General features: G+C 34.9%; 1 protein-coding gene across 5 annotated transcripts in view; it reads right to left on the reverse strand.

The window, feature by feature from the left end:
- Positions 1-17,889, reverse strand: part of ASCC3 (activating signal cointegrator 1 complex subunit 3) — a 373,136-nt gene that overhangs the window by 296,062 nt on the left and 59,185 nt on the right. For all 5 annotated transcript variants that reach the window (NM_006828.4, XM_011535394.4, XM_047418108.1 and 2 more), the window contains one exon: positions 1,505-1,625. In NM_006828.4, coding sequence (NP_006819.2) covers positions 1,505-1,625 — 121 coding nt within the window. The remainder of the gene's footprint in view (positions 1-1,504; positions 1,626-17,889) is intronic.

The raw sequence follows: 17,889 nt of genomic DNA on the forward strand, positions 1-17,889 counted from the left end.
CTAGGAAGAGCAAAATGTTAATGACTAATGAATCTATGTGAAGGGTAAACAGTGATCATTGTATTATTCTTGTAACTTTAAGTTTGAAAGTTGTCAAAATAAAAAGTTGGAGAGAAATTACACTACTACCTGGCCCATAGTAAGTATATATATTTTTTCTTTTTAAAGAAAATTTGCTATGCAGAAGCTCTTCAGTTTAATTAGGTCCCACTTGTCAACAGAGTAAACAGACAACCTACAGAACAAGAGAAAATAACTGTATCTGACAAAGACCTAATATCCAGAATCTATAAGGAACCTAAATCAACAAGCAAAAAACAAATAACCACATTAAAAAATGGGCAAAGGACATTAACAGACACTTCTCAATAAAAGACATACAAGCAGCCAACAAATGCTCATCATCACTAATCATCAGAGAAACACAAATCAAAACCACAATGAGATACCACTTCACACCAGCCAGAATGGCTACTGCTAAAAAGTCAAATAATAACAGATGTTGGCTCAGCCGCAGAAAACAGGGAACATTTATATACTGTTGGTGGGAACGTAAATTAGTCCAGCCACTATGAAAAGTAGTTTAGAGATTTCTCAAAGAGCTTAAGACAGAGTTACCATTTGACCCAGCAATCCTATCACTAGGTATATACCCCCTACAAAATCAATCATTCTACCAAAAAGACATATGGACTCACATGTTCATCACAGCACTATTCACAACAGGAAAGACACAGAATCAACCTAAGTGCCCATCAACAGTGGACTGGATAACAAAAATGCAGTACATATGTACCATGGAACACTACGTAGCCATAAAAAGAAGAAATTGTTCTGTTTCCTGAATTGAGTCCATAGTAATATTTTTCTTACAACTTACTACATAACAGCTGTCATTTTACAGTTAAAGAACCATTAGAATGTTTTAATTAATCATGACTATATGATGTCCTTTGCAACAATATGAATGCAGCTGGAGGCCATTATCCTAAGCGAATTAACGTAGAAAACCAAATACCTCGTGTTCTCACTTGTAAGTGAGAGCTAAACATTGGGTACACACAGACACAAAGATGGAAACAACAGACACTAGGGATTCCAAAAGGGGAGCGAGAGGGAGTAGGGAAAGGGCTAAAAAACTACCTGTCAAGAACTATGTTCATCACTTGGGTGACAGAATCCATATCCCAAACCTTGGCATCAAACAATATACTCATGCAACAAACCTGCACGTGTACCTCCTATATGCAAAATAAAAGAAGAAAGTTGTGTATTCTAAGTAGTTTTAACTTTTACCAAAAACTGCCATACCCAAACACTGCCCTCCTATTTAGATCACTTACGTTTTTTCATAATATGCCATATCTAAAATCTATTTAACAGAGTAATATCAGTAAATTATATAACAGACCAAAACATATTTTAAAATGTAATTACATTAAAAACATTTGCTAACCAATGAATATTTCCTTTAAATTACAATGACCACTGCATACTTTCTTACCTTGAAGAGCCTGAAACCTATGATCATTTGAAGAATTAAGAAATCTATCCACAATTGTAATTCTGTTCTGGAGGAGTTTCTCAATAAGTTCAAGTCCTTCAGGTCCCAGCAGTTCAAATAGCTTATAAAAAGAGAAAAAAGTAACAAACATCAGTTATCTCAAAGTTTAACTTTTTCAAGTTATTAACAACCTATTCAACAGAGGTGTAAAGCCAAACTAATATAGAAATACTCAAAAAATTTAATAAAAATGGTACCTTAAACTAAGAAAAATGACTCTTCACATTGCCAAGAAGCTTTATAAAGGCTTTCTGCAATTACATAATTAAAAAACATTATTCAATTTTTAAAAATTACGATTTGAATATATAACTCCAAATCACAGAATAACAAATTCTTGGTATAACCAAATGAAATTCTAAAATAATTTAATTTGCTCTTCAACATATCATTCTGGTTTTCCCAAATAGAGTCCAGAGTACTATTTTTCTTACAACTACTATACAACAGTGTAATTTTTAGCGTTAAAGAACCATTAGAATGTTTTAATGAATCATGACTTCGTGCCAATTTTTTACATGTATTTTAAATGCTAAATAAGTCTGAAATCTAAAACAAAGTGCTGCAAGTGCTTTACATAACTTTATGAAAATTTCCGAAGCATATCCCACTCTCCTATGCAGAGTAGTTACCAAAGATTAAGTTGATGTCAGAGTTAGAGAACCAGTGTTAGGATTCAGAGTTTCAACCACATAATTGCACAATATAACTATTCTAGGAAGTCTCTAGGTTTCCGCGAGTATGATCTGGGAAGATACATGTATATATTTCTTGTTTAGAAATATAATGCTCTAATTTTGCATATGAAGATGTCATATTAACCAAATTCTAACCATTCTCAGAGAATCCACACAAATAAAACCATAAAATAAAAATTTACTTTGTGTATATGGACATTAAAAGTTTAATAAATATTTTCTTTTTGCTGTTCATTTTACTGAAGTTATGCACACAAAGGGACAACAAAAGAAACAAAATGAATTATTAAGAATAGTCCTGTCCAATCAATTTTAATTCTATTGGCCAGTACTTTTTATTGAACACATTATATGCCAGGTACTATGATAGGCATTTTGCTAATCCTATCAAGCAAATCCTCCTAATACTACTTTCAAATTAAGGTATTATTATTGTTATTTTTGGACTTAAGAAAATAAAGCTTTAGAAAATTTACACAAATTGGCCAAAGTTACAACTAATAGTAGTGTTTTCTAAAATGACATCTATCTGAATCCAAGCCTAAAGAACTCTCCACTGCACTATATTAACACTGTTGAATATTTTCCAGAAAACTGTGACCCTGAAATGAATATGCAATATATTGTAATAAAAAAGATACCAAATTCGGTAATATAAAAGACATTAATTGAAGTTAAGAAACTTGTACAGGGAAACAGCAGAGGAAGCAGTAAAGAAGCAAGATAACAGGAAAATGGTCAAGAAATATGAAAGTAAATATATAACTTGTGACACCCACCCTCCCTCCCCTCAAAAAAAAGATATTAATAATATGTGGCAGAAAGGGTTTAGGACAGACAAGGATAAAGGATGCTGGTAGACAAGACATAATGTCTGTGTTCCCTTACCCTCCATACTTCCGCAAAGAATTATCCATCAACAAAGTATGACATATGGAGTCCTAGAAGTCCCGGACACTTAGGGGGCCCACATGGTCAAAATTATTTTCATGATAATACTTAGCTATTATTTGCCTTTCTCATTCTGGTGACATTTGTACTGATGGTGCAAAAGCAATGGTGGGTAAAACTGCTGGTGCCTTAGCATAAATCAAGCTAATAGTGTCAAATAAATTAGTAATGATTGTATTCTTCACTGTCATACAAGCACAAATACAAACAACAACAACACAAAGCCAACTTCACTTAAGAATGTCCGTAAGTAATGCAATAAAAATTATCAGTTTTGTAAATTTCATATCATGAGTATGTATCTTTTTTAATATTCTGTGTGACAAAAGGGGAAGTATGTATAAAATTACTCCTACTATATATAGAATAAATGTTATGTATAAAAGTATTTTGTAAAAATTTTATAAAAGTATGTATAAAATTGCTAGTGAAGAGGCTTTCTATGTAACATCATTTTGATTTGAAATAAAGGCTAAAAACAAATTGATTATTCAGATTAGGGTATCTGACAAACATTTTCTCAAAAATGAAAGTGAGCCTCCTACACAAAGGAAAACAACTGAATGTATTTGTTGCCAATGCTAAAATGCAAGGTTTCAAGAGAAAATTAGAATTTTGAAAAACTGTATCCACCACTGTAAATTTGACCATTTCCCAATACTTAAGACTTTTCTGATGATACCAGTGATAATATTAATGAATGAATTCTTTTTCTATTATATAATCAAATGCGTCAACATTCAGAAGATTTGCATAACTCACTCAATCAATTATTTTCCAAAAGACTCATATATGATGTTATAAAATTATACATGGGTAAAAAAATCCATTAAAAATGAGACCAATAGATTTTCACAAAACCTAGCATAAAAATTCATTGATATGCCAGATTTTCATTGTAACTAAACTGCAAGAAACTACTGCTTGTCAAGTTTTAATTTAGTATCAAAAAAGAATATTAAAAATTATTTGAAAACGCTTTTAAAATATTATTCTCTTTTCTAACTGTGTATCTATGTGAGCCTGGATTCCCTTTGTAGGCTTAAACCAAAAATATATATCATAGCAGATTGATTACAGAAGCAGGTATGAGAATCTGCTTTCTATTAAACCAGATATTAAAAAGATTGCAAAAATGTAAAATAATGATACTTTTCTTTCTATATTTTACAGTTTTGGAAAATATAGTTAATTTTCATCAAACTGCTAACTTCTATTATTATTGTTATTTTAAAATGAATAAATATATGTAATCATGTGTCACTTAACAACACATATCCTGAGAAATGCACCACTAGGTGATTTTGTGGGAACATCATAGAGTGTAATTACACAAACCTAGATGAGGCAGTATACTACACAGCTAGACTATATGGTGTAGCCTATTTATCTTAGGCTACCAACCTGTACACCATGCTACTATACTGAATACTGGAGTCCACTGACATGCAATGGTAAGTATTGGTGTATCTAACCATATGTAAACACGGACAAGATACAGTAAAAACTACTGTACAAAAGATAAAAAATGGTATAACTGTATACTTGAAAGAGCACTTACTATGAACGGAGCCTGCAGGATTGGAAATTACTCTAGTTGAGTCAGTGAGTGAGTAATGAGTGAATGTGAAGGCCTAGGATGTTAATGTACTACCGTAGACTTTATAAACACTATTCACTTTGGCTACACTACATTTATTTTTTCAAAAAAAAAAATAGTATTCACTAGTAAGTTGGCCTTAGCTTACTGTAACTTTTTACTTCATAAACTTTACATTTAACTGTTTGACTCTTTTATAACAATACCTAGCTTAAAACACAAACACACTGTACAGCTGTACAAAAATATTGTCTGTCTTTAGAACCTTATTCTATAAGCTTTTTTCTATTTTTAAAATTTTTATTTTTTCAACTTGTTAATTAAAACTTCACACAAAAAAACACATTAGCTTAGGCCTACATAAAGTCAGGATCATCAAGATGTCACTGGTGATAGAAATTTTTCAGTTCTATTATAATCTTACAGCATCACTGTTGTATATAGTCCGTCACTGACCAAAACATCCTTATGCAGCACATGACTGTACTTGAAGAGTTTCTCAGTTTTAGTTTCTGGTATAGTGAATACCAATAGACATAAACCACATAAACAAAATCTTGTAGAGTACTCAATAACTTTTAAGAGCATAAAGAGGTTCTGAGATCATAAATTTTGATAACTGATGGCCAAGATTACTATAAAACATTTTTAAATGGTCACACTCTACTTACTTTATACCCACATTTCTATAGCTTTTTCATGCCATAGCACATTTGGAAAGTCATAATATTTGTAAAGTATATGAAGTAAATGGATGAGGCTACTCTGAACAAAAAAGACTAATTAAAAGCCCAAGTGATCCTTGGCCCAGACAACTTCCTTGAGAGTTAGTTAATAAGAATAGTATCCCAGCCCACCTACAACCCATTATGTCATATGCCCTGGTACACCAGAAGGAAACCTCTACTATACTAACACGCAAATCTGTTCACATAATACCATGGTTTAAAATCCTTCATAGTATCCTGATCCTTACAAGATAAAATCCAAACTTCTAAGTACGCCCACATGATTGATACCTTCTATTGCTGGTCCCAATAAGCCAGTCTGGCATCACATTCTTGCTTTCCCCAACTCATAAGTCCTTATCATTGAATGACACCAATCCATCTGCTACTCTGAAGGCATGCTCTTTCACATGTCCATGTGTCTCTACATGCTGGTCTTACTAGGCAGAATGACCTTTCTAATCTCCTCAGCACAGTAACCTCTCCTTTCAGCCTTCAAAATCTAGCTCAAATAATAACTCTTCTCCACGGCTTTCTCTATCTTTACTATGTTTTATGGCAGTTAAACAGCATACAAAGATTTCTCATTACTCTATGTCCTCCTTCAAGGAAACTTTACTCTTTGTTTCTCCAAGAGTTAAAATAGTGCAAGACAAATGGCAAGTGCTAATTAATTAAGATGTATCAAAGACATGTTGTATTCGTAACAGTATTTTCTTTCAAATTTTTAACCCTTAAATAAGTGTCATATTTTTTCAAAGGGAATCATTAGAAGCATATGTTTTGTTTACTAGATTAAACTCTTTCTAAATAAAAGTAAATATTGTCTATATACAAAATCTCAAAACAGAAAGAATCCTAAGTAGGTTGCTTTTGACAACATAAAAAAGTCTTTTGGCAAACTCCAACCAACACAGGATGAAGATTAAGTTTTTGATCTTGTGTTGTTGTTGCTGTTTAATCTCCTTCAATTGCTAGTAGTTGCAAACACTTTAAGGCCCTCCTACAACCTCAAAAATGGTTAACATAACAAGTATAAGAGATGACACTAAATCTACATTAAGATTCCTAAAAAGCTGATAAGAAGTATTGACAGATCTGTGAAAAAATAAAAGCAAGTAAATAGTCTAGACAAAATAATAAACACAAGATCCACGTTTAATCCTCCTTTCTTATATCCTTCAGGCATGTGTAAAAGTACTGAAGATGTGGCCGGGCGGGGTGGCAAGAGGAGGATTTTTGTCCATGTTTACCCCCCGCCCATACTAAAGTCACCTAGAAACAGTGTCCAACAACGTAAATATTTCTGGAGTTGAATCAAAAAATCACATAAGTGATGACCACAATGGAAATGAATGATAGGCCCATTTGTCCAACTCCAGTTTTTCCACAATCTTGCACAGTCCTGCTCTTACAAGTATTAACTCTGTATTTAAAATAACATATATTAATTTTTATAAATGTTAACATTAAAGTGCTAAATTATAGCTCCGATAAGATCAAATATAGAAAAAAAACACAACTAAAGTTATCACCTCCTTTCTCAAATCTTTCTCCCTTCATCACCAATTCTGTTAATAATACAACAATCCCTCAGTGAAATTCAAGTTCAAAATATTCTGATCAGAATTTATTCTTTATTCTAGTTACACTTAATATCAAATCATACTATAAGTGAAGTGATTGTTCTTATCAGAAAAGTAGAGAAACTTAAAAATATACAAAGGACAGTTTATAGAATGAAATTACAAATAGTCCTTACATATATCAAAACACAGTAAAAAACACTCTTTTGTCTTTAACAAGAGAAAGAAAAAACCTCGATATAAAAAAAAACCTTAAAATTACATTGATTTCTGTTAACCTTTCATATTGCCAAAAATTCAAACATTCAACAGGGCAAAAATTTGAAGCCTAAGTACTCTATGAAAAACATCTAAGATTGTGGTGAACAACAACTAGAAAAAAGAGTCATAGATTGAAGGACTAGGTTGTATAGGAGGAGAGAACTGAGTAAAGAGACAACAGAGAGGAGCCCATTGGGTTCAGGATAAATGTCAACACTGACCTCTAAAATCATTCTTTCAAAGGGGCCACAGAGTTATTGGATTAGTTTGTAGAGAAATTTATGTCCCCACAAAATGTTGCAAACGAGACAGTAATAAGCTTGAGATTGATAGTTTCAAAGCTAGTTATAATCAGTAAAAGGAGAAAGAGCCCTGCCAAAACCATACCAGGGTAACTGTGGACATACCCAAAGATGCATCTCCGTAACAAACAACATCAGAAGCTTAATACTGTGAAGTGAGAGGGGATGAAATCATCTCCACTAAAATAATTTAGCAAAGTGATTTAAAAAGAAAAATAAGCAAGCAGGCAACAATAACTAGCCCCAGTGGAAACATGGGACAAATATCCAGCGTATCCACAATATATTAACTAAAATGTTCATTTTCTAATGAAAAATTATAAGGCATGTAAAGAAATGGAGAAGTATGATCCATATACTAGAGGGAAAAAAGCAAGCAACAGAAATTGCCTGTGAAGGTAACCACATGTCAAATATAATAGAAAAATACTTCAAAGTAGGCATTGTAAATATGTTCAAAGAACTAAAGAGAACCGTGATTAAAGAATTAAACAATGACCAAAGAAATAAACACAAGTCCAAATGAAATAGGAAACTGAGATAGCACTTTAAAAAAAAAAAGAAAATTATGAAATTATACACTACAGTAACTGCAATTAAATATTAACTAGAAGGATTCAATAGTAGAGTCAAACTGTCAGAAGAAATAATCAGCAAACTGGAAGACAGATGGATATTATGACATTTGAAGAACAAAAACAAGGCCAGGAATGGCGGCTCCTACCTGTGATCCCATCACTTTGAGAAGCTGAGGAGGGAGGATTGCTTGAGGCCAGTAGTTAGAGACCAGCCTGGGCAACATAGCAAGACTCCGTCTCTCCAAAAAATAAAAGAATTAGCCAGGTGTGGTGGTGCATGCCTGTAGTCTCAGCTACTCGGAAAGCTGAGGTGTGAGGAATCCTTGAACCCAGGAGTTCAAGGCTGCCATGAGCTATGATCACACCACTGCTCTCCAGCCTGGGCAAGAGAGCAACACTCTGTCTCAAAATTGAATGGATGGATGGATGGATGGACAGACAGATAGAAAGACAGATAGATGAAGAAAAAAATGAAGAAAAATTAAGAGAATCAGAAAAAGGTGAAACACCATTAAGTGCACCAACATACACATAATAAGCATACCCAAAGGAAAGAAAAGAGCAAAAAAATTTTGAAAAAACAATAGTTTAAATCTTCTGAAATTTATTGAAAAACACACATCCAGGAAGCTTAACAAATTCCAAGTATGGGCCAGGTGCGGTGGCTCATGCCTGTAATCCCAGCACTTTGGGAGGCCGAAGCGGGAGGACTACCTGAGTTCAGCAGTTCAAGACAGGCCTGACCAATATGCAGAATGCCTGTCTCTACTAAAAATACAAAAAATTTAGCTGGGCTTGGTGGCGCATGCTTATAATCCACCACATGGGAGGCTGAGGCAGGAAAAGCACTTGAACCTGGGGAGGCAGAGGTTGCAGTGAGCTGAGGTTGTGCCATTGCACTCCAGCCTGGGCAACAAGAGTGAAACTCCATCTCAAAAAACAACAACAACAAAAAAAAAACACAAAAAACCTAAGAGATTTTGTTGATAGCTGACTTACCTTACAAGACACCTTAAAGGAAGTTTTTCAGGCTGAAAGCAAGTAACTTCAGATGATAATTCAAATTCACAAATTACTTTACCCATTATACAGGGCGTCTGTGTTTGTGTGTGCGTGTATGTGTGTTTGTGTATAAGCAAAGTACCAACATATACTAATTGAAACTGAAAAGGAATACAGAATGGAGAGATGAAAGATAAATAAATAATTCAACAATAACAGTCGGAGGGTGCAATATCACACTTTCAATACTGGATATAAAACCAAGCAGAAGATTACTAAGAAAATACAAGAATTTTTATCAGCTTAAGGAGCTTTGGGGCCACAACTATGGGGTTTTCTGGATATAAAATCGTGTTGTCTGCAAACAGAGACAGACTGACTTCCTCTCTTCCTATTTTGATGCCTGATATTTCTTTCTCCTGACTGATTGCTCTGGGTAGGATGTCCAATACTAAGTTGAATAGGTGAGAGAGGACATCCTTGTCTTGTGCCACTTTTCAAGGGGAATGCTTCCAGATTTTGCCAATTCGGTATGATCTTGGCTGTGGATTTGTCATAGATGGCTCTTACTATTTTGAGGTATGTTCCTTCAATACCTAGTTTATAGAGGGTTTTTAACATTACAGGAGGTTAAATTTCATCAAAAGCCTTTTCTACATCTATTGAGGTAAGCATGTGGTTTTTGTCTTTAGTTCTGTTTTTGTGATGAATTACGTTTATTGATTTGCATATGCTGAACCAACCTTGCATCCCAGGGATAAAGCCTACTTGGTTATGATGGATACATTTTCTAATGTGTTGCTGGAATCAGTTTGCCAGTATTTTGTGGAGAATTTTTGCAATGTTTATCAAGGATATAGGCCTGAAGTTTTCTTTTTTGTTGTTGTTGTGTCTCAGCCAGGTTTTGGTATCAGGATGATGCTGGCCTCATAGAATTAGTTAGGGAGGAGTCCCTCCTCCCCATTTTCTTGGAATGGTTTCAATAGAAATGGTACCAGCTCTTCTTCATACCTCTGGTAGAATTCAGCTGTGAAACCATCCAGTCCTGAGCTTTTTTTAGTTGTATGATATTTATCACTGATTGAATTTCAAAGCTCATTATTGGTCTGTCTAGGGAATCAATGTCTTCCTGGTTCAGTCTTAGGAAGGTATATGTGTCCAGGAATTTATCCTTTTCTTCTAAATTTTCTAGTTTATGTGCACAGAGGTGTTTATAGTATTCTCTGATGGTTGTTTGTATTTCTGTGGGGTCAGTGGTGATATTCCCCTTATTCTTAATTGTGTTTATTTGGATTTTCTCTCTTTTCTTCTTCATTAGTCTAGCTAGCAGTCTATTTTATTAATTTTTTTTCAAAAAATCAACTGGAATTCTTGATCATTTGAATAGTTTTTCATGTCTCAATCTCCTTCAGTTCAGCTCTGATTTTGATTATTTGTAGTATTCTCCTAGTTTTGGGGGTTGGTTTACTCTTGGTTCTCTAGTTCTTTTAGTTGTGATGTTAGGTTGTTAAATTGAGATCTTTCTAACTTTTTGATCAGGAAAGTCTCAGGATACAAAATAAACATACAAAAATAACTAGCATTCCTATACACCAACAACAGTCAAGCCAAGAGACAAATCGGGAATGTAATCCCACTCATAATTGTCAGAAAAATAAAATATCTAGAAATACAGCTAATGAGGGAGGTAACAGATCTCTACAAAAGGAACTACAAAACACTGCTCAAATAAATCAGAGATAACACAAACAAATGGAAAAACATTCCATGCTCATGGATTGGAAGAATCAATATCGTTAAAATGGCCATACTGCCAAAACAATTTATAGATTCAATGCTATTCTTAGGAAAGTATGAATCACATTCTTCATAGAACTAAAAAAAAAAACTATTCTAAAATTCACATAGAACCAAAAAAGAGCTCAGATAGCTAAGGCAATCCTATGCAGACAGAACAAAGCTGAAGATATCATGTTACCTGACTTCAAACTACTACATGGCTACCATAACCAAAACAGCATGGTATTGGTACAAAAACTGATATATAGACAAATAGAACAGGTTAGAGAACCCAGAAATAGGCCCACAGACCCACAAACATCTCATCTTTGACACAGCCAACAAAAACAAGGAATGGGGAAAAGACTCCATATTCAATAAATGGTGCTAGAATAACTGACTAGCCATAGGCAGAAGACTGAAGCTGGAAGATTGAATCTTCCTTACACCGTATAAAAAATTAACTCAAGATGGATTAAAGACTTAAATGTAAAACCTAAAACTATAAAAATCCTGGAAGACAACCTAGACAATACTATTCTGAACATAAGAATGAGCAAAGATTTCATGATAAAAATGCCAAAAGCAATTGCAAAAATTGATAAATGGGATCTAATTAAAAGAGCGAGCTTCTGTACAGCAAAAGAAACTATCAACAGGGTAAACAGATAACCTACAGAATGAGAGAAAATATTTGCAAACTATGCATCCAACAAAGGTCTAATATCCAATATCTACAAGGAACGTAAATTAACAAGCAAAAGACAAACAATCCCATTAGGAAGTGGGCAAAGGACATGAACAGACACTTTTCAAAACAAGATACACTGTGACCAAAAAGCATATGAAAAAAAGGTCAACATCACTGATCATTAGAGAAATGAAAATCAAAACCACAATGAGATACCATCTCACATCAGTCAGAATGGCTATTACTAAAAAGTCAAAAAATAACAGATGCTAGTGAGGTTACGGAGAAAAAGGCACACTTATACACTGCTGGTGGGACTGTAAATTAGTTCAACCATTTGTGGAAAGCAGTGTGGCAATTCCTTAAAGAGCTAAAAAAAAACTACCACTCGACCCAGCAATTCTACTACTGGGTATATACCCAAAGGAATATAAATCATTCTATTATAAAGACACATGCACACATATGCTCACTGCAGCACTATTCACAATAGCAAAGATATGGAGTCAACCTAAATCCCATCATTGGTAGACTGGACAATGAAAATGTGGTACATATACATTATGGAATACTATGCAGCCATAAAAAAAGAATGAGACTATCTTCTTTGCAGGAACATGGGTGAAAGCCATTATCTTTAGCAAACTAGCACACCAACAGAAAATCAAATATTGCATGTTCTCACTTATAAGTGGGAGCTAATTGATGAGAACAGATGAACACATAGAGAGGAACAACAGATACTGGGGCCTACCTGAGGGTAGAGGGTGGGAGGAGAGAGAAAATCTGTAGAAATAACTAATAAGTTCCAGGCTTATAACTTGGGTGATGAAATAATCCGTACAACAAACCCACATGACCTGAGTTTACCTATATAACAAACCTGCATATGTACTCCTGAACTTAAAATAAAAGTTAAGAAATATAAAAAAAGTTTTAAAAATTAAAAAAAAAAGAAATATAGGATTGAGCAACGCTATAAACCATCTAAACCTAACAGACATCTATAGAACACCTATCCATCAAAAGCAGAACATACATTCTTCTCTAGCACGCATGAAACTTCTCCAGGATAGATCATATAGTTAGCTATAAAACAAACCTCAATAATTTTAAAGAAATTTAAAATTTAGAAATAATACAAAGTATGTTTTCCAACTACAATGGAATGAAACTAGAAATCAGTAACCAAAAACATTGGAAAACTTACAAATACGTGTTAAATATGTGAGATGAATGAAAATAAAGATCCAACAGAACAAAACTTACGGGATTAGCTAAAGCAGTGAAAAGGGAAAAATTTATAGCTGTAAATGCATATATAAAGAAAAAGTGAGATCTCAAACCAATAACCTATCAACCTTAAGACACTGGAAAAGGAAGAGCAAAATAAACCTAAAGCAAGCAGAAGGAAGGAAATAATAAAGCTTAGAGCAAAAAGTAAATGAAATCAAAAATAGAAAAACAATAGAGAAAATAAAGGAAACCAAAGGTGTTCTTTGAAAAGATTAACAAAATTAACAAAACTTTAGCTAGATTGACCACGAACAAAAGAGAGAAGACTCAAATTAGTAGGATCATATATAAGTTAGGACATCACTACTAAGTTGAAAGAAGTAAAAAAAGATTATACAGGAATGCTATAAACAATTGTATATCAATATATTATATACATTAGATGAAAGGGAAAAACTCCTAGAAAGCTACACACTACCAAAACCAACTCAAGAAGTAATAGATAATCTGAACAGACCTATAACAAGTAAAAGATTGAATTAGTAATCAAGAAACGACCCACAAAGGCCAGGTCCAGATGGCTTCACAGTTGAATTCCACTAAATATTTAAAGAAGTTAATACTAATTCCTCACACTCGTTACAAAAAGAGAAGAAAACACTTCCCGATTCATTTTAGGACAGTATTACTCTGACACCAAAATCAGATAAACATATCACCAGAAAACTATAGAGCAATATCTCTTAGGAATATGAACACAAAATCCTCAATGAAATACAAGCAAACCAAAAGCATCAATATAGAAAACGAATTATAAATCATGATAGTGAGATTAATGTCAGGGATACAAGGTTGGTTCGGCATTAGAAAACCAACTGATAGACTACATCATATCAATAGAATTTAAAAAACAAATCACATGATCAGCTCAACAGATGCAGAAAAAAGAACTGGAAAAAATCCAATACTCTTTTGTAATAAAAACATTCAACAAAGTAGCTCTTGAAGGGATCTTCCACAATGTGATCAAGGGTATCTGTGAAAAATCCACAGCTGGCCAGGCACGGTGGTTCATGCTTGTAATCCCAGCACTTTGGGAGGCCAAGGCAAATGCATCATGAGGTCAGGAATTTGAGACCAGCCTGGCCAAGATGGTGAAACCCCACCTCTACTAAAAATACAAAAACTAGCTGGGTGCAGTGGCAGGCACCTCTAATCCCAGCTACTCAGGAGGTTGAGGCAGGAGAACCGCTTGAACCCAGGAGGCAAGGTGGAGGTTGCCGAGAGCCAAGATCATGCCACTCTCTAGCCTGGATGACAGGGCAAGACTCCGTCTCAAAAAAAAAAAAAAAAGAAGAAGAAAAATCTGCAGCTAACATACATAGCAGTATTTCATAATGGTGAAAAACTGGATACTTAACCCACTAAGATTAGAAATAAGAAAAAATAAGTCTGCGCTCACCACTTCTATTCAACACTGTACTGTAGGTTCTAGGCAGGGCAGTTAGGCAAAAGCCAAAAAAAAAAAAAAAAAAAAAAAAGAAATATAAGGCATCTAGATTAAAAAGCAGTAAAACTACATATAAAAAAAACCATTAGAAGTGACAAGTTGAGCAAGGTTACAGGATAGAAGATCAATATACAAAAATCAATTGTATTTCTATAACTAGCAATGAAAAATCTGAAAATGTCCATCAGTGATAGACTGGATTAAGAAAATGTGGCACATATACACCATGGAATACTATGCAGCCATAAAAAGGATGAGTTCATGTCCTTTGCAGGGACATAGATGAAGCTAGAAACCATCATTCTCAGCAAACTATGACAAGGACAGAAAACCAAACACTGCATGTTCTCACTCACAGGTGGGAATTGAACAATGAGATCACTTGGACACAGGGCGGGGAACATCACACATGGGAGCCTGTCGGGGGCTGGGGGGCTGGGGGAGGGACAGCATTAGGAGAAGTACCTAAGGTAAATGAAGAGTTGATGGGTGCAGCAAACCAACATGGCACATGTATACCTATGTATCAAACCTACACGTTGTGCACATGTACCCTAGAACTTAAAAGTATTAAAAAAAATTCCATTTACAATAGCATCAAAAACATTATGTATTAGTCAGGGATCTCTAGAGGAACAGGACTAATAGGATAGATGTATACATGACAGGAAGTTTATTAAGGCGTATTGACTCACACGATCACAAGGTGAAGTCCCACAAAAGGCCGTCTGCAAGCTGAGAGCAAGGAAGCCAGTCCGAGTCCCAAAACCTCAAAAGTAGGGAAGCTGACAGGGCAGCCTTCAATCTGTGGCAGAAGGCCCAGGAGCCCCTGGCAAGCCACTGGTGTAAATCCAAGAGTCCAAAAGCTGAAGAACTTAAGAGTCCGATGTTCAAGGGCAAGAAGCATCCAGGAAGGGGGTGGGGGGAGATGAATGCCAGAAGACTCAGCCAGTCTAGTCTTTCCATATTCTTCTGCCTGCTTTATTCTAGCCATGCTGGCAGCTGATTAGATTGCACCCACCCCGACTGAGGGTGGGTCTACCTCTCCCAGTCCACTGACTCAAATTTTAATTTCCTTTGGCAACACCCTCACAGACACACCCAGGAACAGTATTTTGCATCCTTCAATCCAATCAAGTTTACACTCAATATTAACAATAATACATTACTGGGAAAAAAAAATCAAACAAAGGAAGTATAAGAGTTCTACACTAAAAACTACAAATATTGCTGAAAGAAATTTTAGAAGATCTACATAAATGGAAAAAACAGTCATCTTCATGAATCAGAAGACTAGAACCAGAAGACTACTGCTAGGATCATAATAAACCCCAATTTGCTCTACAGATTAAATCCAATTCCTATCAAAATCCCAGGTGACTTCTTCATAGAAATTAACAGGCTGATTCTAAAAATCAGATGGAATAGCAGAAAACTCAGAATAGTCAAAATAAACTTGAAGAGAACAAAGTTTAAGACTCACACTTTCATACTTCTAACTTACTACACAGCAACAGTAATTAAAAGAGTGTAGTACCAGCATGAGGATACACAGACAAATCAACAGAATAGAGAGTCCAGAAATAAACCCAAGCATCTATGGTCAACCAATTTTTTAAAAGAATGCCAAGACTATTTAAAGGGAAAAGAAGAGACTTTTCAATAAATGATGATGGGACAACTGGCCAGTGATGTACAAAAAATTAAGCTGCACCTTTACTGCATACCATATAAAAAATCAACTCAAATGAATAAATGACCTAAATGTAAGAGCTAAAATGATAAAACTCTCAGAAGAAAACATAGGAATAAATCTTTACAGATGTAGATATGGTAAAAAAAAATTCCTAACTATGACATCAACAGAATGAGCAACAAAAGAAAACAGATAATTTAGATTTCATCAAAATAAACAAACTATTTGTGCTTTAAAGGATACCACCATGAAAGTGAAAAGGTAACCCACAGAATAGGAAAAAAAAAATCATGTATCTATCTGATAAGGGGTGTGCATCCAAAATATACAATGAACTCTTATAACTCAGTAATAAAAAGAAAACCCAATATAAAAATGAGCAAATGATCTGAATTTCTGCATGGACTATACACGAATGACCAATAACCAGGATGAAACTCAACATTAGTCATCAGAGAAAGGCAAATCAAAATCACAATGAGATACTACTTAACACCCACTAGAAAGGCTATAAAAATGGAAAATAGCAAGTTTTGGCAAGGATGTGGAGAAAACAGTTTGCTGTTTCCTCAATAAGTTGTATTGTTGTTGTTGTTTTGTTTTGTTTTTTAAGTTGGGGTTTTGATCTGTCACCCAGGCTGGAGTACAGTGGTACAATCATGGCTCACTACAGCCTGGAATTCCTGGGCTCCTGCCTCAGCCTCCCAAGTAGCTGGGACTATAGGTGCAAACGAACACACTCAGCTAATTATTTTTTTTGTGGAGACAAGATCTCACTAGGTTGCCCAGTTGAGTCTCAAACTCCTGGCCTCAAGCAACCCTCCTGTCTCAGCCTCGCAAAGCGCTGGGATTATAGGCATGAGCCACCATGTGCAGCCTCAACAAATTAGACATAGAATCACTATATGGCCCAATAATTCCCTCTAGGTATACACCTAAGAGAACTGAAATACGTGTCCAATCAAAAACATGTGCACAAGTTTGGTTATTCATAAAAACCAAAAAATAGAAACCCAAATGTTCATCAAATGATGAACTGATAAATGAAATGTGATATATGAACAAAATGGAATATTATTCAGCTATAAAAAAAAAATGAAGTAGTAGGCAGGGCGTGGTCATTCACGCCTATAATCTCAGCACTTTGGGAGGCTGAGGTGGGTGGATCACAAGGTCAGGAGTTCGAGGCCAGCCTGGCTGACATGGTGAAACCCTGTCTCTACTAAAAATACAAAAGTTAGCTGGGCGTGGTGGCACGAGCCTGTAATCCCAGCTACTCAGAAGGCTGAGGCAAGAGAACTGCTTGAACCCAGGAGGCGGAGGTTGTAGTAAGCCAAGATTGTGCCACTGTACCCCAGCCTGGATGACAGAGCGAGACTCCGACTCACCAAAAAAAATAAAAAAATAAAAAAATGAAGTAATAAACAACATGAATGAACTATGAAAACGTTTTGCTAAGTAAAAAAAACAGTCAAGAAAGACCATATTAGATGATTCCATTTGTACAAAGTGTCCAAAATGGAGAAATCTCCAGACACAGAAAGTAGATAATTGGTTCACTAAGGGTGGAGGGGGTAGGGAGAAGGAGAATGGAAGATGGTAGTTAAAGGTCAAAGATTTCTTTTTGAGGTGATGAAAATGCTCTAAAATTGACTGTGGTAATGACTGCCCTCATCTGTTAATATACTAAAAACAATCATTGATACA

This window comes from Homo sapiens, chromosome 6 (assembly GCF_000001405.40).
Source record: "Homo sapiens chromosome 6, GRCh38.p14 Primary Assembly".
In the NCBI taxonomy this organism is placed as follows: Eukaryota; Metazoa; Chordata; class Mammalia; order Primates; family Hominidae; genus Homo; species Homo sapiens.